The sequence below is a fragment of the Homo sapiens genome, chromosome 2 (assembly GCF_000001405.40).
Source record: "Homo sapiens chromosome 2, GRCh38.p14 Primary Assembly".
NCBI classification, from domain to species: domain Eukaryota; kingdom Metazoa; phylum Chordata; class Mammalia; order Primates; family Hominidae; genus Homo; species Homo sapiens.
Window position 1 is genome coordinate 217,935 of NC_000002.12, and position 24,510 is coordinate 242,444.

The following is a 24,510-nucleotide window of genomic DNA, read 5'->3' on the forward strand; positions in this document are numbered from 1 at the left end:
GGAGAAAGAAGAGCTTGGATTTGAGCCCGTGAAGGCTGAGGTGTTGTTCCTTGTCCAAACGGAGCTGTAAAGTGCATAGCTGGAGAGGGGAGTCTAGAGTTCAGGAAGGAGCTCAGGCAGCCCAGAACGGAGGTGGATTTCACCCTGCATATGAGACATAGGACTTCTGCCTACCTTACAAAAAAAATAAGAAAAACAAAATTGAAATATTAACTTAGTAAACATTTAAAAATTTTATTTAGAGACAAGTCTACCATGTCACCGTAAGTTTATGCTACTGCTGGAAATGAACAAATGTAGCCCCATAAGGAAGAAAAGTTGAGAGATGCCATATGTTTAAAGACATGGTAGTCAGACTTCTTTGTAATCACATTTCTATGATAAATGCATAGTATAATTTTTGAAGGTATAAAGACAATTTCTAAGGATTTATATTCTAGTTAATACCTACGACTCTAAACATTACTTAATACCTCATTTAAGCTGATTTCTTTTTCTCTAGTCACTTTGCAAATGGAAATGTAAGAATTGAAATTTGTGGCTCTACCCTCAAGATTCTCAAATTAAAACACAGCTACCATATACATGGCCAGATCAAATGCTTAGCGATGTTTGAAGTGTTCACAAGAGAACTATGAGCGTATAAACTGTATGATATTCTATGACACAGTAAGTGTGATAAAGTTAGTACAAAGTATTTAAAGATATGTCAGTCAGCTCTTTTTATATAGAAAAACAAAATCTTTTACATACGGAATGGAAATTTTGTAGAACAGAAGTTTTTTAAAATTTATATTAAACATTGCTTAACTAGTAAATCCTGTCAGTGTAGAAATAATTTTTTTGTAATTCTCAAAGAAGAAAATAGTATACGCTTTAATTCATGGTTACGTAGTTGGCTGGAAAAATGCCAGTTTGACCTCGAAGTTTTCCTTCCCACCAATCAAAATGTGAATCTGTTTTTGATATAACTGTGATTCTGTCTCCAGCTTGAAAATTCAAATCCCCAGGCTGCTGTCCTTCAAATGAATACAGCGCTGTCACTTCTATGGGTTGATTCAAATTGCCTGAAACAAGAAAAAAGTATTCACGTTTATGTTCTTTAAGGGAGAAATTGGGGGTATCTGCTGGTAAGATAAAAATTAACCACTTAGGGCTTGGCATGCTGATGTCTTGGAGGCTGGCAGAAACCACAACAGTCTGTGTAATTTTCATCACATTATTAAACTTATTTTTCTCTGCACATTCTATACCTAAGGATTTAGCACATGCTTCTGGTTACAATCGTCTAAATTTTGAATAATCTATGAGATAATACAACTTACATTTTTTCTATTTTAATATAGTCATTGCTGTGGTCTGAATGTCTGTGTCCCCCTGAGATTCAAGTGTTGAAATCCTCAACCCCAAGGTGATGGTGTTAGAAGTGGGGTCTCTGGGGGCTGATTAGGTCATTACGTTTCCCCCTCATGAATGGGATCAGTGTCTTACAGACAGAGCCTGAGGGGAGCTTCTTGCACCTTCCTCCTTGTGAGGACACAGCCAGATGGCACCATCTCTGAGGCAGAAACCGAGACCTTGCCAGACACTGAGTCTCCTGGAACCTTGATCTTGGAATCCAGCCTCCAGAAGCGTGAGAAATAAAATTCCATTGTCTATGAGCTGCCCAGACTATGGTGTTTTGTTACAGCAGCTGGAAGGGGCCAAGATAGTGTGACAGTTTCATGGATGGCAGATGCTGGAGAAAGGCAGATATGTGAGCTTATATCAAACCCTAGGAGATTCAACTTTAAAACCTGGCTCTTTACTCACTGGGCTTGAAGATTGCAGCCCAGTTATATTTTGCTGTTTCCTCAGCAGACATTTCTTCTCCCTGGGCTTTGTGGCTGTTTACATTTCTGTGCTTAATTGATCCATCCTCTCAATATCAGAGATAAGTTGGAATTAGCACAGGTAGGAGCATTTCTACATGTTTCACAAGTACTTCAATGCAATGTGTATATCCATGTATTGCAGAAGGAAGAAAATACTTTGAGAACTGAGCAGTTAACATGAATAAAGGACATTAAATATTATAAACCACATAACATCATAAAAATATAATTAAACAGTTTTTGAGCACTCAGCTACATGGAGTCTGATGCTTCTATGCTTCATATAATTCTGTGCATAAATTAGGCAACTAGATGTACAGACATACAGAAAACATCAATAACCAGACTCTAGAGCCAGGTCCTATTTGAACCCATAATACAATAATAATAATAATAATAATAATAAAGTGAATTTGGTCCACCCATAAGAAATAAAAATAGTCAACACTTTAAACTACTCTGACTAAAACACTGAATTTGTAGCTCTCACAAGATGGTGCTACCATTCTTTCTTTAAAGTATGTGCCATTTAGTTGAGTTCTAAAGAAATAATCCTAATAATAATTACACTAGAGATAATACTGGTATAACTACTTTTTTCTATAATAAAAAGAATTTCTGTATATTTTATTTTGTCCTATATTTACTTTTAGTTAACAATTTTAAGGAATAAGGATAAAAGAATGTCACCAAAATAAAATTTTGACATAGTCTAGAAACAACAGAAGTTAAGTTAAACGTTCTAAGTACACGATTAAATTCTACACGTTAATGAGCAGTCGCTGCCATGCACTGTGAAAGGAGCTGTGCTCTGCCCTGGGTGGGGTACCGGGCAGGCGCTCACGCCGTGCTTCCCTGTCATCAGATCAGGATGCAAGCTAATGCTAAAGAAAAATCCATCCTGGAAATCTCTTATTCATGATTATATTTAGGATATCCACATATAAAGCTGAATCTTAATTAACCAGAACAAATCAGTGAAGAACCTCCAGGAACTCTGTTCTCCTCCCTCTTGTCTCCCAGACACGTTAGATAATAGGAAGAAGTGAATTAAAAGAGTGCTTGTGAACATCAGGGAATGTTCTGGGAGCCACAGCCATCTTAGCTACCATGCATTTATACACTTGCAGTCTCATTTATAAAATCAAAAATGCATAATAAGGACGACAACAATGATAACAGCAATCGATGTGCATCTGGGAAGAGCAGCCACCGCGAACTGCTCAGGCACACACATGTGCTCCTCTTACACCGCCCACTGCAATGAGCCAGCTACTCCTATCCCACATCACAGAATTTGAAACTGAGCTTCAGAGATAACAAGTAATTTGTCCAAGGTCAGGAATGAAGCTTGTCTCCAGGTCATCCAAGACCCTCAACAACCTCATAAATATGAAATTGTGCTCAACAGACCAAACTGACATTTATCGGAGCATTTTACTTTTATGAGGCAAATGTTCAAGGGGGATTAATGTGGTGACCTGCCTCACTGGGTTTCCAGACTGTACAAATAACAGCATCTGATGCTATGGTTCTGGGTAATCCCTGATAACTGAATTGGTTCTAAGCAGTTTCAGGAATATATTTTATGAGGAATAATTAGAGAAATAAATATATTATGAACTAAGAAAGAGAAAGAAGGCGAGATCACACACCTGGTTTGGTCCCTGCCCTCACAATCAGGTGTTGGTCTAATTTTCTCTGAATTGCAGATTCCAAATGAAATGAGGATAAAGCAGAGTGAGAGAGGAGGGTAGAGGAGCAACGTGGGTGGTTTTCAGGTGCAGCTGAAGGGAAGGCCACCACTGAAGGTCTGAGGGGGCCGGGATCTCACATTTCTCCTTTACTGAGGCTAAGATGTGTGTTGACTGTTCCTTGTGCCCAATTCCTCACCCAATTGACCACAAATGCCTCTGCCTCCTGGGGAGGAGTACAAGAGAGTCAGGAGTTGAGCTGTTGTTGGAGAAACTCCATCCACATGAAAATCACAAGAGTGAGGCCAGCAGATCCAGGAGCCTATCTGCTTTCTCAGATAACAATCCACAAGCCAGTTAGTGCTGTGCCCTGTTAGTTTTTTTCTTTGAAAAACTCCAAATGACTTAAAGTTCCTCTTTAATGTAAATATTAGAGATAATTTTCACAAGGAGAAGTTTAATGCCCACAAAGAATTCACCAATAAAAGGTGAGTCAAGTAATGATTCCTTCCATGAAGAAAAACCTTCCTGGTTACCGGGAAGCAAACCCCACTGAGTTACTAAAAAGCTAGGCATTCACAGATGCCTTTCCTTCTGCACAGCATATGCCTTTCAGCCTTATACTCATGTACTTAAAAAATCGGAAGGATCTTTGAGGGAATTGGCCATTTCCTTTATAATATTCAAGTTTAGTTGAAGTAGGGGTTATTTTTCCCAAACAGGAAGCAGAATTAGATCACAGTCAGCATTGGTGACTGGCAGCTGCCCTGAGGCCCATGATTAGAAAGGCTGGTCTGTGGATGTCCCTGTTTCACTTCCAGTCCACTTTCTCATGGAGCCTGCATGAGGCAGACCCTGTGCAGCCAGCACCCCTGGCCTGACTGTTTCAGGAAAAAAATCACAGCCTTGGGAAGGTCACAACTAGGAGAACACAGCCTTTGCTAAGCACCCTATGAGGCACAAGATAGCCCCTACAACAAAGTGTTATCCAGCCTAAATTGTGTGTAGTGCCCAGGTTGAGAAACCCCATCCCAGACAACTATGGGATGGGTAAGAGGACGGGGAAGAATGCTGACGCTGGAGGGTCCAAGCTTTTGATTATGAAACCATTCCTTCCAGAGTCCCTAGAGGGAAGATCAGAAAATTGGACTGTGCATTTGCAAGCCTTGTCTCTCTCAGAGGCCCAAGAACTACACAGCTGGACCTTCCAAAGGGCAAAGCCAAAAGATGGTGGGAGGAAAGTACAGGTGATGTAGCTGATCATCACACCCAGCAGCCCCTCCGTGGGGCTGAGACAGATTCAGGAGCTCGCACGTGGAGGACTCAGTGTCCTGCTTCATCAGGTTTTCAATTTAAGGCTCGGGCCCTGGGGCCATGTAACTGTGACTTTTCTCTGCAGCGATGGTAAGCAAACATGAGGAAATCCTTGGTAAGAGGTTAATGCCTTCACAGCTGCGTTTAAAAAAATTCCGTAACGTAAAGTGAGTTTTATTTAAAAAGTGGACTGTAAATCTTCCCTTTTAATTTTTTCTTCAAGAACCTCTTTGGAGAATGGGCTAAAGGAATATTAACTCAGTTGTAACTGAGTTACCATTTACCTTGTCCTGTCCTCAAATACAAACACAGAAGCAACGGAGAAACCAACCATGGCAAGTGATGTTCCCTTTGGGTCCCACAGCTGGTAAGTGAAAGTACGGGGGTTCGAACTGGAATCTCTGTCTCCACAGCCCACTTAGAGTTTAATTTCTTATCAGGAAACGTTTTTCCTTGGTGCTGTTTATAGGAAGTTTCTAATAGAGAAAGGAACTCTAGTTCCCAATGTCACATTACCAAGGCATTCTTTGGGGGATCTGTGGCCTCAGCTCTTTTTCAGCCAGCTTCCCTCAGCTCTGTCTCTCTGTAGGGATCCCCTCCCTTCCCAAGCAAGTGCAGCCAGTCAGCTGACCTTGTCAAGTTTAGGAGCACTTTAACAACCAGATACCTAAGTCTAAGTCTAATCTTGAGTCTTTAAAAGTAAGAGGCTGTGTAAGATAAAAATCTAGGTGTTTACGCTGTCTTGGTGTCAACATTTATACCTTAACCACTTTTGCTTCTACAGGATGTGTATCCAAAGGCCAAACTTTTCATGTCTCTTTAAATCAGCCTGTAATGTGGGTGTGAACTTGATGTCTCTTTAACATGGCCTGTAACATGGGTGTGAACCACAAAGGGTGAAACACATTTTTAAAACCTCTCAGAGCTTTCTCTGCATACCTAAGACCATGGCACAGCATCTTCTGTAGGTGAGCCCCCGACCATCGCACCTGCTCTCCATACAGGACTCTAGGAGCAGATGCTCAACCCCCTCGGAGGAGAAACATCTGGGAAAAACACTGGAGTGGGCTCCCAGAAGGGGAGGCCAGGGTGAAAAGAAAGGTCACCAACCCTAAATCCATCAGGAACATGCTGACCTCTCTTCAGGGGATGCTGCTTAAGAGACCTTTTCAACATATTTTTATCTGCATGATATAAATTTTTAAAATATGCTTGAGTACCTAATTTTTGGTATTTTATTTACATGAAATGTTTAATTCTCCGACAGTTTTATATCCAGCAGCATATAGCTTTGTGACTCCAATGACGAAAGTATTCAATGTGAAAAAATAAACAGGCTATTTTATGATTGTTTAACTTTGCCCTCAATTTGTGTACCACTCACATTTGCAAATAATTGCTCAATTCTCTTCAGGGAAACCTCTGAAGAATATTTAAGTAAGACAGATTGAAGGACCATTTTTACTATGGTAAATCTTAACAAGTTTTATAAAGTAGTTTCCAGTAATAACAAAACATTTGAATGTGAAAAATAAAATTCTTAGAAATATAAAATTTATGGTGCTAAAACACAGAGAAAATGGAATAAGGATGAAATTGTAATTCAGAATTAGCAAACTTTCTCATTTTATCTCCATTGTAAATTCAAAAGCTTCCAGACAGCAAATGTGGAGGAGATCACATGCTCCTCAGATGATGCCATGGCTCCCGGGGCTCAGCAGCCCTGTCCCCAGCACACACTCCCTACACAGATAACACTGACGGTTAGCTCCTATCCGGGGCTTAGCAGCGCTGTCCCCAGCACACACTCCCTACACAGACAACACTGACTGTCAGCTTCCTATCACCCTCATTACCTTAAAGGCAAGTAAGATAACAAAAGCATAGCATTTTCTAAATGAAGTACTTCTCAAAAGAATGTGAATATTCTATAAATTAAAGGGCTGAACACTTCCCAGAGATTTTCATAACCTGTCAGATTAATTAGGAAGTTTGTGATCACAAAATGAATATGAATCATTTATAACATATAGATTTACTGATTTACCAACTCTCTCATGATAGCTGGAAAGTCCAGGATAGAGCTTATATTCATTTCTGTTACCTGCCAAAAAAGAGGAGAGTGGTGATTTTGAAAACTGATTAGTATATATCATACAAAATACACAAAATTGCCAGATCCTGCCCTTGCTGAGCAAATATTTTAAATCACTAAGTTGATAGGATCATCATCATTTGATTGCGCTTTAAATCACAAGGTATACCTGAATAAAGCCAGAAGATACATGAAGTATAAGGTAGATGATAAATACCTGACATCTGTATGACACAGAAGTACACACACTATTCTCATTATAAATTCAGATGACAATTCTATTAGGTTCTTCTTCAATTGCATTGAAGGCAAAGAAACAGAAATCACTGATTCATGGAAGGATTTACACTGCATAAGAGCCATTCACTAACTGCATCCACATTTCACACTGGATTCCCGTTCTGACGCTCTGGGGTGATGTAGTGTAGAAAGAGGCAGAACGGTCTGGGGGTTTGCTTTTCTTCTTCAACTGCAGAAAAACTGATTCTAACAGTACAGAAGACGAAGAGCACACCTTGCACATCATGTTCAGCTTTAAAAAGAACTTATCCAGGAGCTGGAGATCTGGAGATGGTGTCTCTTAAGTGGCCTGTGCCCACACCCCCTTTTGCAGTCTCTGCGTACTCCTAAAGACAGGCACACACCAGTGTGAAGGCCACTGGCCTAAGACATTTATGAAAGTCAGAATTTAGAAATAAAGTTTGGTGGGATGGGAAAAGGATACAAATATCCTCTGAGAATCTATTTTTAAAAACTGACTAGAAATAGTTTTGAGCAAGTGACGAGATATAAGACAAACAAAATATATGCAAATTAAGATTTCCTTCACTGTGAAAATTGGTACTTAAGTAGAAATAGAAAAGTGCATTCCATTCACCTTAGCAGATCAAAATCTCAAAGTACTTGGGAACAAATTTAACACAAAAGGCACAGAAATTACAAAGTCTTATTGAAAGACATAAAATCTCAACAAATGGAAAGCATGAAATGGTAAAATTATTATATCTCAAAGTAATAAATGTATACATGTAATGTTACCATAATTAGCATTGAAAAATTATAGAATGGATACAAGTACATCATACTGTTTCAACTAGAATTGTATATTGGGGAGGAGGGGAAAATTAGGAAAATGAGCTCAAATTATGTGAAGACTAAGTATCCAGTAAATGCAAAGATAAAAAAATCACAAGAAAATCTAGGAGACTATGAACATACTCTTGTGTAGGAGGTGGGAAGACCTTAATCATGACCAAAGTATCCAAATCTATAAAAACTAAATGATAGACTTATTTTTAGATAAAATTTAAAACTTTCATGGAGTAAAATTATGAAAAACAAGATCAAAAGAAAAATGGTAAGTGTAGAAATATGCTGCAATCCAAATGACCAACAAAACCTATAATATAGATAACATTTCCATAAATTGAGAAAGCAACAAATATCCCAATAGGAAAAATAGACCAATGAAATGAAGAGACTTTTCAGATAAGATTAAATCCAAAACACCAGCAATTTATATGAAGAGATGTTTACATTCACTAATAGGAATAAATACAATCCAATTAACAAGGAGATGTGACAAGCCTTGACTGGCAAAATCTTCTAGATGCTTCCGCACTAATAGTGGTGGGGAAGGTATATGCTGAAGAATGTCATAATGGATGTAATAGTTGAAAATGCACTTGGTGGGGAATGTAGATGGTGGAGAATGTATATAGTGAGGAATGCATACAGTGGGGAAGATATATGGTTGAGAATGAAAATGGACAGTGGGGAATGTGTATAGTGGGAATGTCTGGTGGGAAGCCTATATAATGAAGACTTGGGAATGTTATTGGGGAGTGTATATATGGTGGGGAGTGTATATATGGTGGGGAGTGTACATATACTGGGGAGAATACATATACTGGGGAGTATATATGGTTAGGATTGCACATGGTCGGTAGTATACACGGTACAGAATATGGTGGGCAGCATAAATGGTGGATAATTCATATGGTGGAGAATGCATATGGTGGATAGTAACCATGGTGAAAAATGCACATGGTGGGTGGTACACATGTTGGGGAATGCATATGGTGGGTAGCATACATGATGGAGAATGCATATGGTGTCTAGTGGGAAATGTGCATGGTAGGAAATGCCTATGGCGGGAAGCAACTATAGTGGGGACTATTATGGTGGGAAGGTTATGGGGAGTGTATATATGGTGGGGAGTATATATGGTTAGGATTGTACATGGTGGATGGTATACATGGTGGGGAATGCATGTGCTGGTGAATGTTACGGTGGGGAAATGGTTGATGAGACTCTAAGTAGTAAAAACTTTTGAAAAGTAATCTGCTAAATCTGTTAAAACTTTAAAAATATATTATTTGACCTATTATGTCCACTCCTGGTAACTATCTCAAAAAAAATAAAAGTGCCAGTATATATAAATATTAATTTAGAAGTATATCAATTGTGACACTGTTTGGCATGGAAAAAAATCTGAAATAAAGTTAATATACATCAATAGGAGAGTGAATGAGTAAACTATATACATTTGTGCCATGGATACTGAATAATTATTAAAAAGAAGCAAACAGAACTATACCAGTTGACTTAGGGATTTCTACGCGGAGTTGTTGAGCAAAACAAACCAACAAATAACAAATAAATAAATAAATATAAAGAAGATATAGTAAAGCACGTATAAGATGATAGCATTTTTATGAGACAAAAATATTCTGGCCATGTTTATGTATATGTTTGTACATGCCATGTGTAGGACTACACAAGAATGGAGAAAACAACGTGAAAGTTCATAATTTATGTTGTGAACGTGGGTTTCCTGAAATCAGGGTAGAGGAAGGTATCTTGAAAGTGAAAACATAGGTGAAATGGGAAAAGGAAGCAACACAACAAAGGAAAAGAAAAAAAATACTGCCTTCACAGACCCTCCATATGAGCATACGTGCATTTCCATAAAATTATGTGTGTGTGTGTGTGTGTGTAAGGATATGTAAATAAATTGAAAATACTTAGTTTTTAAATAAAGAACTTAAGAAAAGGTCAGATTTAACATAAAACATTAAAAGTAGTCACTAGTTTTAAATTTTTAGTTTACTGAATTAAAAACTGATATTCAAAACTTGAGAGATACAGCACATGAGAAATGATGGTATCGCATGGAAAAACTGTAGTGGCCTAGCCACAAAGGATGAAGCTGAAAAGGTGGAGGGAGGAGGAGTGTTCACGAGTGTGTCGAGTGAGGCTGAGGCTGCAGAAATGTGGCCAGGCTAACCTGTCCACCGGCAGGGACACAGCTGTGGCTGTGCAAAATGGGGAGGGCACTGCCCATCTCCCCAAGAAAGGGTTCGGGGAACACACGTGGTCACCGTGGGAAACAGATCCGCAAGCTGGCACAGGCAAAGGGCCTGTTTTTAGAAAGCTCACACAAGGGGGTTATATGGCAGAAACAACCTTCAGAGCTTTTCAATTATTAACGGAAAGGAATTTTTTGAGGTAAGGTCCACAGTCATTTTTAAATCCGCACTGATAAGGACCTGATACTAAGAGGACTAGAATTTTTATAAATGAGAGGATTTCATACATGCATATGCAGGTATCCATTCTCAGTGAGGACATTTTATATATTTTAAAACATACATATGGGTCAAATTCTATATAATCACTCAGATCTAAAATAAAAATAAATTCAGTGCTCATATCTCATTAGTCACTGCAAATATGAGTTTCAGTAAATCAATCATCTGAACATGAATCAGCAGTGGACCACGGCTTATCCCAGAAGAACAGGAGACAGACGCAGGGGCAGGAGGCAGGTTGGTAATGAGGAATAGGCCTGGTTCCTGAGCATCTTCCTGGGAGGGTTACATTTAGACCAGTCAAAGGCACAGCCAAGAATCATATGAGGGACTTGGGCTCAAAACTGGGGAAAATGATTACAGAAAATTAAGGAGGAGGCCGAGGATGCGCTTCCCGCCTTCTGCAGAGCTTTACTATTTACTCCCCGCAAAACTTATATGCCTTCTCCCACTAACAGCAGTTATGTTTCTACATGTAATCTCTCTCCTCTTGTTCTGAAAGTCCTCTAAAGGCAAGATCTACGTTAAAGTCACCTTTGTGCACCCAAAGCCACAGCACAATGACTCTTGTATAACAGTCAATCATCACATGAAAGTCCCTACTTCAATGTATTCCTATTTACTGGTAACCTCCATATACGAAAAACAGAAACACAAGTGATTCACAAAAATGAATGATAGAGAGAAAGATAAAGACCAAAACCTGGTGCTTTATAAATGTCATCTAGTTTAAAAACCACCTTATGAGATCCTGAGCTCCAAAGAACATATGTCAAAACTGATATTCAGAATTATAAATATGAGTATGATAAGAAAAAAACAGGCTTATTTTGTTCTCATTTCAAATCAGAAGGATAACGGTTTTTGGAAGAAATGGCACAGAAAATAAATGAGAAAACCTTTGAAGATAAATATCTTTGTAGATTTAAGAAAGTGTCTTATGGGCCGGGCACGGTGGCTCACGCCTGTAATCCCAGCACTTTGGGAGGCCGAGGCGGGCAGATCACGAGGTCAGGAGATCGAGACCATCCCGGCTAAAACGGTGAAACCCCGTCTCTACTAAAAATACAAAAAATTAGCCGGGCGTAGTGGCGGGCGCCTGTAGTCCCAGCTACTTGGGAGGCTGAGGCAGGAGAATGGCGTGAACCCGGGAGGCGGAGCTTGCAGTGAGCCGAGATCCCGCCACTGCACTCCAGCCTGGGCGACAGAGCGAGACTCCGTCTCAAAAAAAAAAAAAAAAAAAAAGAAAGTGTCTTATGAATAGAAAGAGAAGTTTTCATAAATTATAGCAATGACAATTTGTCTCATGTATTTAGAAGAGGCTGAGCACTTATTTTACTCTTAAATATGTTAGTTCTTCTATTTAACTCTAAAGTTTAACAATGTATCTTGATTTCTTAATGATAACATTTAATAATTACTTAATTACAACTGTATTTGAATTGCAACAAAAATATTTACTTTGAGAGCCAGAGTTCAGCTGGACTGGTGCAGATGACTGCTGTGGTCTTGACAATGGCTTTGGAGGTAATTCTTTAGCCTGGGAGAAACAAAAAGATAAATACACATAATTTTAAAATCTTGTTTTTACTTAGGCACATATAACTCTTTTCTAATGAGGTTATGTAGCAAACTTTTATCATGTGTGCTTATTAATGTGGCACTCTCAAAGCTCACATGCACCCCTCTGGACTCTATGTAATTGAACTGGATGACAAGACTCAGATGTGGACAGGGTGTGCTCTTCTCATGCCTGGAAGCTAACCTCCCCCAGGCACCTCTGACCACCTGTGCAAGGTCTTAGGGAGCTGCAGGGACGGTGGTGTAGTAATTGGTTTAGCAAGCAACTGGCAGAGGCAGTGACAGACAAACTCTAGGCTTCAGTTTTTATTCCATGAAACAGGCATCATACCAACTCTGAAAGGTGCTGTGGAACATCATGAACAATGCACACAAATCCCTCGGTGCCCCAAGGCCTGACATACAAAGGCGTCAGTATCTGCAACTATTATTCATATATTATTATTGAGATAAGGTCTTACTCTGTTGCCTAGGCTGAGTGCAATGGCATGATCTTGGCTCAGTGCAACCTCATGGGCTCAAGCGATCCTCCTGTTTCAGCCTCCTGAGTAGCTGAGATTATGGGCACACGCCACCATGCCCAGCTAATGTTTCTATTTTTATGGTAGAGAGGGGGTTTTGCCATGTTGGCCAGGCTGGTCTGAAACTCCTGATCTCAAGTGCTCCACCTGCCTCAGCCTCCCACATATTATTTGTATTATTGATACAACAAAGTTCCATCCTTGGAGAAATGCAATCACAGAGGACAAATTATGTTTTTCCCTGAAATCTGTACAGAGGAAATGTCAAGGTAGCATGACCTTTTCACAAGAATGTGAAGTCAGTGAAACTACGAAGGAGGCTTAGTAGGTTCTTAGGAACCTGATATCAGGGACAGAATGTTCTACAGAAAGAGATTTTCTGAGAATACTGAGTGAAACATAAAACCAAACGGTACAGAAGACTTCCTCTGCTCCCTTGCTGCTTTTCTTGCATTGATTCGTTGTCCTTCATTTTCATACTTTTCAGTAAAGGAATCAAGAATTTCATAAAGATCTTCGGCTTGAGCAGGCCGCGGTGTATCTCCAAATAAAATGTCATAAGCTCGGATATCTTGACAATAAAATCTAATGGGAAATATAAAATTAAAAACATTTTAATATACACAAATCTTTTCTAGAGTTAAACATAGCATGTGCGCACACACGGTGTGTATATATAATCATTCATACATAGCACTTCATATACACTACTTTTTAAACACTAACTTTAAGCAATATCCCATGTTCAAGTCTTAAATGTACCCCAAAGTTCACTTCTACAGGCAACTACCATAAATATCCTTATATGTATCCTTTCTTTATTAATATAAAAAGCACATCCACATTATCATGGAAATACTTATACTTGCCCATATATATACATACACATATTCATATATAAACACATATAAATATACACACAAGCACATACATTTTTATAGGTTTTTACTTTTTAAATTTCTTTAAAAAATGGTACCTATAACTGTGGCTTTGTAATTTCCTTAAAATATTTATTTTTATCAAGATTAAATAAACATTTGCCTTACATGCTTGGAGGTCCTGCCATTCATTAAGCAACATATTTGTTTTAGTTTATCCAGGGTTTAGTTGAACTTTAGTGGGAAGGCCTGCCAACGGGCTCGAACCAGAAGTTTCTAAAAGCATTCTTTTGTTAACTGTTCTCAAATTAATAAAGCCAGGAGTTAACACATCACTTTTGATTTTATAAGATGAATAGTTCTGAAAACCTTATTTTTCCCCATCCCTCCTATTTTCTACCTCTTGTGGTTTATATTTAGCTTTATTAAATAGTGCTGTTCAGTTCCTGAATGACTCGGTGGGGTAAACACTGGATGCTTTGTCTCGGATAGTGGCGGGTCTGTCTGCCACGCGTGGCGAATTTGAATGGCCAATGCCAGCAGTGCCAGCCGATCAAGCTGGCAATGATGGAACTTCTGCAGGTTCTGGAAGAAGTCCTGCTGTCAGTCTTAGCTCTTTATCTCTTTCTGGGCCTTTACACATATTTTAGTGGCAATTTGTAAGAGCCACTTAATTTGCATCTTTGGGAAAAATCAGCCAGATGCCAATTTAAAGTAGAAGTTTCCCTTTACCTTTTAGGATACTTCCAGATTCTTTTTTTTTTTTTAAATCAAACTGTATTTTAAATTGCTCTCTATTTGACATGAGAAAAGACAAAGGTGGAGTGTAGAACAGGAAACCTCACAACAAGGAATACTGACTGACACATGAGTTGTAACTGGTGTGCCTTCCACAAACATCTGAAAATCACTGAAATCGGTGCATCCAACTAAGAGTATTACTAACTTATGTTTAAGTTTCTTTTTTTTTTAATATACTTTAAGTTCTGGGGTACATGTGCACAATGTGCAGGTTTGTTGCATAGGTATACATATGCCATGTTGGTGTGCTGCACCCATCAACTCGTCATCTACATTAGGTATTTCTCCTAATATTATCCTTCCCCCAGCCCCCAACCCCCTGAAAGGCCCCAGTGTGTGATGTTCCCCTCCCTGTGTCCAAGTGTTCTCATTGTTCAATTCCCACCTGTGAATGAGAACATGTGGTGTTTGGTTTTCTGTCCTTGTGATAGTTTGCTGAGAATGATGGTTTCCAGCTATCTTAAAATGCGAAGTGGAAAAAACAGCATTTACAACTGAATATATATGGTGATTATCATCATATATGGCAAAACAAAAAAAATTATGCTTAGGAAAATGTTGGAAGGCAGTAAAGCAAAATGTGAATTGTGTTAGTCTTTTAAAGGGATCGAGTTTTTTTTATTTCTTTTTCATGTGTCTTCTGCATTTTCTACGAGCATATATTATTTGTATATTTAATTTTTAAATGTAAGATACACACTTAAAACCACATGTTGTAAAAAGAATATATAAATGTACTCTGCAAATTATATCAACTTTTGAAGTACTATTTTCTCATCACACTTTCAATTAAAATCACTTTAACTTGAACTGACTTTCTATTAGTTTCTTTCCTTTCAATCAAACAGCTCCCTTCTAAAGACACGCCTGCAAAGAGTCCCCTTGACTTGCAGTACGTGAAGACGGCAGCGGAGCTTCTCAGGGCCACGTTTCCTTCCAAGTTCCTGCAAAGCACAAGATTTTGCATCACAAAGCTGTGAGCAGCTCCAAGCCGAGGATCACTATTTAAATAGCACTCCTTCTAGCTCAAATGAATTATTTTGTTCTGTACCTTCTTCAGCTGTTTCTATGTTTTACTTACTGTAGGCCTAAATTAGATGTTTTAATGTGGCCTAGAGGAAAAACAGGCCGGGGGAAGAACATACATGAAATTATTACAGAAGGCTCTGGTAACATAGAACTGTGTTGAAAAAGAATACAGTGCAGCATGTGTAAATATATTTTAAAAATTTGTAAATCTGACATTTTCCAACCGGATCTTCCTCTCTTAAAACTGGGAAATACATCTCAAGAGTGCTAAAGAATTTGGATTATTTTTGCATTGAGTATTTTCATGGAACCAAGAAACATTTTTAGATGATTTTACTGTGTAACTTCTATAAATAGTGTGGGTATAAAATATCTCTACATTGCACAATTAATCCAAGACTAGCATTTCATTAATAGAGAAGAAAAATACACTTTAAGTACTGTAAACACGGCTCAAAAAAAACACATCCATATCCAATTTTTATGATTTACTTTGAAAAAAGCTCTTTCTTTCCTAATCGAAGCTTAACTTTATCATAAAATCTGACTTGTGTTTGGCTCTCTCAAAGCTTAAGGTGGATTTTATGTTCAAGTCTGACAGATACAATGGCCTATGCTTCCAAAACATTTCATTATTTCTTGTGTGTTCTGGTTTCAGATTTTCTAGCTTATCTCACTGGCTGTGTTTTGTGAATTTCCTATTTGTGATGACCTCAAATCTTTCGGGCATGTATAAATCTGGGGATGTACAAATCTGTTCATTTTAATTCAAGTTTCCTATTAATGCAAAATAAAATATGCAGTTGTTAAACCTTTACTGTCTAACATCTATTTAAAGAACTCACCTTCCCAAGGGCCCAACCGCCACAGTCAAGTTCCCTCCGAGGGTCAGATTTCCGCCTTTTGCAAAAGCTTCTACAGCACGGTCATAATTCAGAATTATCACCAAGTCTGATACCTAAAGTGTAGAAACCCATGGATTTAAAAATCGTTAAGACTAAATATCATTTAAAATTCATCTTGACTAACACTCAACTACACCATATGCACTGTAGCAAAACATCAATAGAGACAGGAAAGAACGTGAGACAAGAGCCATATTTTTATTTTGAGCTGATGAATTATGAAGCCAATATTGCCACAGGTAATTACAACAAACCTCAGCGAGCATTTACTGTGCACCATGTGTATACTATGAGGTTTACCTGCATCATGTCCTTCAATCTTCCACACAACCTGGTCATGTAGGTGGTGATCCTAAGGTTTAGTGGGGTTAGGTAAACCGTCAGTGCTAACAAGTCAAACAAAGGTTGTTGGAAGGGATCCAACATGCTCTCTGATCTCATCAGACTAAACTTTGTAAAAGCCAAGCCCGAAGAGCACAGCACCAGGGACGATGGTGCTGAAGGTCCTGAGAGCCTTTCTACACTCTCCTCCTGGCCAGGGGTGTGCTCCTTACCAGGAAGCTGTGAACCTGGGCCACTTCACTATAGGTCACAGAAGCTCAACACACCAGAAAGCAAAGCAGTTTCCATTAGGAATGCCTATTTCCATGACTTAATTTTTCTTTTTTTTTCCTTGAGAAAGAGTTTCACTCTTGTTGCCTAGGCTGGAGTGCAGTGGCGTGATCTGAGCTCACTGCAACCTCCGCCTCCCGGGTTCAAGTGATTCTCCTGTCTCAGCCTCCTGAGTAGCTGGGATTACAGGCACGTCACCATGTCCGGCTAATTTTTTGTATTTTTAGTAGAGATGGGGTTTCGCCATGTTGGCCAGGCTAGTTTTGAACTCCTGACCTCAGGTGATCCACCCACCTCGGCCTCCCAAAGTGCTGGATTACAGGCGTGAGCCACTGAGCCCAGCTGACTTAATTTTTCTCTAAATAAAAGAAGAAACTACAATGAGATTCAACTGAATGCTCAAGGCAGGTCAACACAGTGAAAGCATTTGTTACTCAAATTAATCACTGCAATGTGGAAGTCCAAAGTTAGAACTGAAAAATAATATGACCCATCAAATGAGAGGCAGCATGGGTCAGGGGAGGCAGCATGGGCCAGGGGAGGCAGCAGCATGGGCCAGGGGAGGCAGCATGGGCCAGGGGAGGCAGCATGGGTCAGGGGAGGCAGCATGGGCCAGGGGAGGCAACAGCATGGGCCAGGGGAGGCAGCAGCACGGGCCAGGGGAGGCAGCATGGGCCAGGGGAGGCAGCATGGGTCAGGGGAGGCAGCATGGGCCAGGGGAGGCAACAGCATGGGCCAGGGGAGGCAGCAGCACGGGCCAGGGGAGGCAGCATGGGCCAGGGGAGGCAGCATGGGTCAGGGGAGGCAGCAGCATGGGCCAGGGGAGGCAGCAGCACGGGCCAGGGGAGGCAGCATGGGCCAGGGGAGGCAGCAGCATGGGCCAGGGGAGGCAGCATGGGTCAGGGGAGGCAGCAGCATGGGTCAGGGGAGGCAGCAGCATGGGTCAGGGGAGGCAGCATGGGCCAGGGGAGGCAGCATGGGCCAGGGGAGGCAGCATGGGCCAGGGGAGGCAGCAGCACGGGCCAGGGGAGGCAGCAGCATGGGTCAGGGGAGGCAGCAGCATGGGTCAGGGGAGGCAGCATGGGCCAGGGGAGGCAGCAGCACGGGCCAGGGGAGGCAGCAGCATGGGTCAGGGGAGGCAGCAGCATGGGTCAGGGGAGGCAGCATGGGCCAGGGGAGGCAGCATGGGCCAGGGGAGGCAGCATGGGTCAGGGGAGGCAGCAGCATGGGCCAGGGGAGGCAGCATGGGCCAGGGGAGGCAGCATGGGTCAGGGGAGGCAGCAGCATGGGCCAGGGGAGGCAGCAGCATGGGCCAGGGGAGGCAGCATGGGCCAGGGGAGGCAGCAGCACGGGCCAGGGGAGGCAGCAGCATGGGTCAGGGGAGGCAGCAGCATGGGCCAGGGGAGGCAGCAGCATGGGCCAGGGGAGGCAGCATGGGCCAGGGCACCCCTGGGTGTGAAGAACCAATGTCCATCCCAGCTCCGCTTCTCGAGAGCTGTGGACTTTGGGGTCTTTTAACCAGTCTTTGTGTCTCTGACTGTTCTGTGTTTAAAATTTGCTTACTAGGACCTACACCTCATGGAACTACTGTGAGAATCAGATATAGGCGTCAAGTGTACCTGGGAAGTTGAAACAGTGCTGGCATGGGGCTAAGAATTTGGGCTCAAAATTAAAAATAGTTAGGTGGGAACTCCATTACTCCCTTTTGCATGCTGTGCGACCTTGGGCAAATCACTGAGCTGCTGAAAGCTGCAATTTCCTTCTCTGGAAAATGGGTGTAATAATAGTGGCACACATTCAAGGCTGTTTACGGATGAATTGAAATCAGTTCAATAAAACATGCAAAGGTCAAGCAGACTCGTGCTTAAAATATGCCTTCATTATACAGTTATTCACATTTTTTAATCAAATCAATGCTCTCAAGTCAACATTTTTATATGAGTGACAGAAAAATCCTGTTATAACCAAATGAGATTATACTTGAAAGGCCCTAAGAGAGTTCCTGATGCAAGTATGTTCTTAATAATGTTCAATTTGAATCATTTTATGAAATAAAATACACTTCAGATCTGTAGGTCAAACTAAATCTACCAGAGAGCTGACCCACACAAGATGCTTCAGCTTGACGCTTGCCAACTGTTCATTTTATTTTACATATAGACAATTTCTGAGGGTTATGGTGCTGAATGGCAGATAATTATTTAGCTTTTCTTATGCAAAGTTAAGCATTTTCACCAGTGATTGTATAACCTGTATCTTGTATGTATTTTTAGATAACAAATTTGCCTTCCATAATGCTTCCCACATTTCCCACTCGGAAAATACAAAGTACTACCCATGACCTTGTAGCTACACTGGTTCTTATGTTCCGCTTCTGCTTGGTACATCGTGGTACAGTTAAGTAAGGCCAAGCTATGAGAGGCAGCTGAAGGAAAAACAAAGTCTTTTGATTTTTTTTGGTCTGATCTCTCTTTAGTTCTTTTGAAATAAGAATAAGAGAATATTGTGTTTTTTGGTGACACTACCAATTAGCCCGAGAACCAGGTCAAAAGCTCTGCAGACAGCTTGGCGAGCATGTGAGCAGCAATGGCCCTCAGTTTATTTCCACAGCTTAGAAGAAGGAGCAAGACAGATTTCCTGCAGGAATCTGGAGGAGCTGAACAACACATTGGGACGGCACTCTCAGAAAACCCTGTAAGCATTTGATAAGACTTCTTTAGAAGTCTGCATTAAAACTCAACTACATAACAGTCTGATCGAAGAAATAAGACTTGTGTTTTATTTATAAGATCAGTAGGGTGAGTATGGTTCACAATAATCTATTGACTATTTCAAAATAGCTAGAAGAGAACTTGAATGCTTCCAGCCTAAAGAAATGACAAATATTTAAGGTGACAGATACCCCAATCAGACTGATTTGATCTTTACAAATTGTATGCATGTATTAAATTATTACAAGTACCAGGAAAATATGTAGTCCACTATAAATCAAAAAAAAAATTAAAAAATAAAACTGAATAACTCAGATGCAAGTGTTTCAATTAAATAAATTCTTAAACATTAGAATGTGAAAAACCACAGCTGCCATGCAGGGGAAGCTGCGGGAGAGAAATGTCCCTCTTCTCTGCGACTGAATTTCCTGAAAGCAGCTGCTGAGAGGGTACCACCCCATCTCCCTCTTGTGTGGTCAGCCTGCTTCACACCCACACAGCTGAGTCCCGGGCTGTTGTCCTGTCAGAGCATCACCCCCTTCTGGATGATTGACTGCTGTCAGCCTTCAAGCCCCACATCTGGACAACCCGCTAAGAAAGCTGGGCTTCCTCCTCCACCCTGCCGTTCTCTCACGCCACTCTTGGGCTGGCCTTGGAGCCTGCCCCAATCTCCCTAAAAGCCTCACTACATGGGGAATAAACCTTTTCCTCCCTCCTTGTGTGTGTGTGTGTGTGTGTGTGTGTGTGTGTGTGTGTGTGTGGCATGGCCAGTCTCAATATGTAAACCAAGCTTAAGTGGAGCGTCCTTCCAGCAACAACACCCCCTCCATTCCTCAGACCAACAGATCTTTTCCTTACATCCCATTCTTAGGGGGCTTAGAAACTGGACTCTGATCTCTAACAATAATTTATCCTCAACTTAAACCCAAATACCTTCCTCTTCAGTAAAGTGAAAGGGCCCATGTAAATTCTCCCTGGAAAAAGCAGTCGTTTTTGTTTTTTCAAATTCCAATCTTGAGTAAAAGCCAGACTGCTCTGGCTTGATGACCCAGTGTGAGCTCTAGCTCTGGAAACACAGCAAAGGACTGTACATGTCCAAAGCCAAGCCAGCAGCAGGACTTTCTGAGCTTTGGGCTTTGCTACAACTGTCATCCAAAAAGAAACCGTTAGTGGTATTTAAAGCAAATGTAGCATTGTCTTTCCTCAGACCACTGACTTTCACGACTTCACTTCTCACAATCTCAACTCTCTTTACTAATCTCTCTCTCTTTACCACAAAAACTTCCCCCTCCCCCAAATTAATCCCTAATCCAGATACACGTATTCAGTCACTAATTTAGACAATTATTCAGTACCTCTGATGTTCCAAGAACCAGGGAACTCTCCACCCTGTAGAATCTGGGAGTCTAAAGGTTGAGATTGTCGAACATAAATTAACCCCACGCCGGCCTTCTGGCTAAGCTTAGGGTCACTTACACTTATGCCCCTGGAAGAATGAGTCTGACATTCACTCTCCAGTGAAACCACAGCACGATGCAATAAGCTATCCAGGAGCAGCCTCAGACAGCAGTGGCTGTTAAGCAGCATCCTTTGCACAACTAGACCTTGTTAGTTAAGAGAACTGACCTTAAGAACAGGCCATTAATGAACACACAATTAAGACTGCAATCTTTTTCCACCAGGATTCTCTAGGAGAATTAAGCACGAATGTCCTAAGGCATCCATTGCAACTAATAGGTTAGCATCTCCCCAGATATTCTAGAATAATAGTACAAATAATTAAGAAGGTGGTACTCCAATCCCTTTCTGTGTTTGGAAGGTCAGATGAAGAACCTGGAGCAAATGTAACATTTTTGCAGCACTGGATACACCACGTGGAAGGTACGGGAGATGTCCGGAGAAAAACTGAGACTGACCCAGGCAAAAAACAATGCGCCACAACTTTAGCCCAGAACAGGCAAGCTTTGTTGCCAGTCACAAATATCAGAAGTGAAAGGGGGTATTTAAGGACCATTTTATTCAACTTAAAAATTTTTTATTTTACAGATTTGATTCAGGAAGATTAAGTACTTTGTTCACTGTTCTATAACTAACAAAAGAAGAGCTAAAACTTAACAATTACAGTTGAATCTCCATCCCACTGTAGAATGTATCTACAAATCAGAATGACACTGCAGTGGTGGCATAAAGAGGCCACAGACCCTCTCCACAGCAAAATAACCGTAACTGGTAAAAATTATTTTAAAAATTAACACTTCTGGAAATTGTCCTAAGGGCATATGGCAAGTGAAGAAAATGAAGACACATTGATTCAATGAACACTATTAAATATTGGTAAGGAAGAGAGAGTTGGTGACATTTGAGCTATAACCTGTGCCCCGCTGCAGGTCAGCCTGATGGAAGCTCCTCTTGGGGAAGGGGGTTTGCAAGAACACAGACTTCCTTCCCCCAGCCCCTGGTCAGGGCTGCAGTATATCCACAGGAGAGGCTTCTGCCAGCATTTCTCTTCCCACAGCTCCTTGTACAGAAGCTCCATTCCAGGCAAGAGCAGCTGAGAGGTCTGGAGCTTCCTTCCTCCACCCAGAACCCATGTGTAAGTGAAGGCTCCAGCCTAGCACAACAGTCCAGGAGCACCAGGACCCCACTCACTCTTGCCCCAGTTCACCTGTGGGGCAAAAGCTCCACCCTGACAGAGGCAAGCCAAGCTACTACACCACCCAAGGCTGCAGGGATGTCACTCCAAGAGAAGGGAGCCACTGCCCCAGCCTCCAGCTCTGGAGCAACGGCACAGAGATCTTGGGCAGACAGAGAGACAGGCTGCAAGAGCAGAGAGCTCCAAAGCTCTCCCCAAGGGAAGTGAAAGCTTTTGGAACACAGGGTGGGGAAGTTCAAAGGTGCTGTCAAAAATGATGCTTTTGGTGATAAACAGGTAAGATGAGGTATTTAGCTCCATGACAGCAACAAGCTAAACCATTGGTGGTCTAGAAAATTATCAGGGAGAACCAGGGACAGAGATAGCTAAGAAGAGCCCTCCTGAAATAGAAATGAGCCTCAAAGACTACCTGTGCACAGGAGCACAATTTTAACTGGATCAAACTGTGGAGCAATTTATGTCCCCAGGGCATTGTTGGAAACAATGGAGCAATCAGCAGGCAATTAGTGGAGGCTAACAACAGTGTGTAATACCAATGGAGACAAACAGCTTAACAGACAGGTCACGGACAGGGACAGTCAGAACACCTGTCATCTCAGGAAAACTATATGCATGCCCATAGACAACATTGGAGGCTTCACAGTAGTGGGGCACAGAATTCATTCAAACAGTCCAGCCATATCTCTAAACAAACAGCAAGCAAACAATAAGAGGCTCCTAGGGGGAGAGGTTGAGCACCCAGAGTTGATACAATATAATATCTAAAATTTCTGATTCTCAACCAAAAATAATAAGACAAAGAAGTGGGAGAGTGTGACCCATACATAGAAAAAAAATTTAAAAAGGAAGCAGACGAGAATGACTGCTGTTCAGATGGTCCAGCTATCAGATTTAGCAGACAAAGACTTTAAAACAGCTGTCATAAATATGTTCAAAGAATTAAAGAAAACTATGGTTAAGAAGTAGAAAAACGTACAATGAGAATATCTTATTGAATAGAGAATATTGATAAAAACATAAAATTATATAAAAGAACCAAATGGAAATTCTGGAGGTAAAAAGTACATTAAGCAACATGAACAATTTACTAGAGAAGTTTAACGGTAGATCTGAGCACGCAAAATAAAGAACTGGTAAATTTGAATAATAGAAAGTCTTAAAAACTAAGAGAAAGAGAATGAAGAAAAATTGACAGAAACACAAGAAACCTGGGACACCATTAGGTGCACCAACATATGTGTGATGTAAGTACTAGAAGGCAAGGAAAAAGAGAAAGAAGCAGAAAATTTTCTCAAAGAAATAATGGCTGAAAATTCTCAATCTGATGAAAAACATGGATCTACACTCAAGAAGCTCAACAAATTCTGAGTAGAATAAATGTAAAAAGATAACACTCTGGATAGATAATTGTAAAAAATCTTAAAATGCAAGAGAAAATCTGGAAAGGAGCAAGAGAAAAATGACTCATCACATAAAAGGAACCCCAATTAGAATAATAGATAGATTTCTCTTCAAAAACAGTAGACTTCAGAAAACAGTAGGATGACAAAATGCTGAAAGAAAGAACTGGTCAACTTAGAATCTTATAATCAGCAAAAGTATATTTCAAAAATGAAGGGGATATGAAGACATTCCCAGATTAAAAATTTTTTTTTAAGTTGAGAGAATTTGTTGCTAGTAGAACCATTTTACAAGAAATATTATAAATTCTAAACAAAGTCCTTCAGGCTGAAAGCAAGTGACTCTAGAGAGTAATTTAAATCCACACTTTAAAAAATCACCAGTAAAGATAATTATCTAACCATAAATAATAGTATAAATGCATAGTTCTTCTCTTTTCTCTTAATTGGTTTAAAAATAAATTTTTTCTATATTTTAAGTCTGTAACTATAGAAATATTATATACTAGACAATAACCGTACAAAAGAGTCAGGTGGGAGCAAAGTTGTCTTGGAGTAAGGAAATGACACCAGATGGTAACCTGAATGAACAGAAACAATGGAACAGAACAAAAAATGGGAAATAAAAAAGGTTAATATAGCAAGTTCAATGAGTAAATACTTGCTCTCAATTATTCTCTGAGTTTCTCTAAAAGACATAAAATTATATACATTATTAACTATAATCATGAATTGCTGAGTGTGTATCATATATAGATTTAATATGTATAACAGTAATAGCACAAAAAAGGAGAAAAAAAACTAGAACCATATGAGAGTAATGTTTTTGTATCTTATTAAATCAAGTTC

The 24,510-nt window shown here is 40.4% G+C and overlaps 1 protein-coding gene across 9 annotated transcripts in view, besides 1 other annotated feature; it reads right to left on the minus strand.

Moving 5' to 3' along the window:
• Positions 1 to 201: 201 nt before the first annotated feature.
• The window catches only part of SH3YL1 (SH3 and SYLF domain containing 1), a 46,689-nt gene continuing 22,380 nt past the window's right edge, over positions 202 to 24,510 (minus strand). For 3 of the 9 annotated variants that reach the window (NR_104223.2, NM_015677.4, NM_001282687.2), the window contains 6 exons: positions 16,226 to 16,338; positions 15,167 to 15,295; positions 13,089 to 13,257; positions 12,032 to 12,110; positions 6,930 to 6,986; positions 210 to 1,067 (listed from right to left, as the gene is read on the minus strand). Coding sequence is in view for 4 of the 9 variants with exons in the window: in NM_015677.4 (NP_056492.2) it covers positions 877 to 1,067; positions 6,930 to 6,986; positions 12,032 to 12,110; positions 13,089 to 13,257; positions 15,167 to 15,295; positions 16,226 to 16,338 (738 nt within the window). In the remaining 5 variants the exon portion in view is untranslated. Of the gene's footprint in view, positions 1,068 to 6,929; positions 6,987 to 12,031; positions 12,111 to 12,612; positions 13,258 to 15,166; positions 15,296 to 16,225; positions 16,339 to 21,608; positions 24,243 to 24,510 lie in introns of those variants that run through there. The other 6 variants (NM_001282682.2, NM_001159597.3, NR_104225.1 and 3 more) reach the window with 5 other exon arrangements.
• Positions 19,982 to 20,182: a silencer, noted in NCBI's record as "peak3578 fragment used in MPRA reporter construct". NCBI's record gives its function as "represses an SCP1 promoter by STARR-seq MPRAs in K562 erythroleukemia cells {active_cell/tissue: K562}" and the evidence as "EXISTENCE:reporter gene assay evidence [ECO:0000049][PMID:32103011]".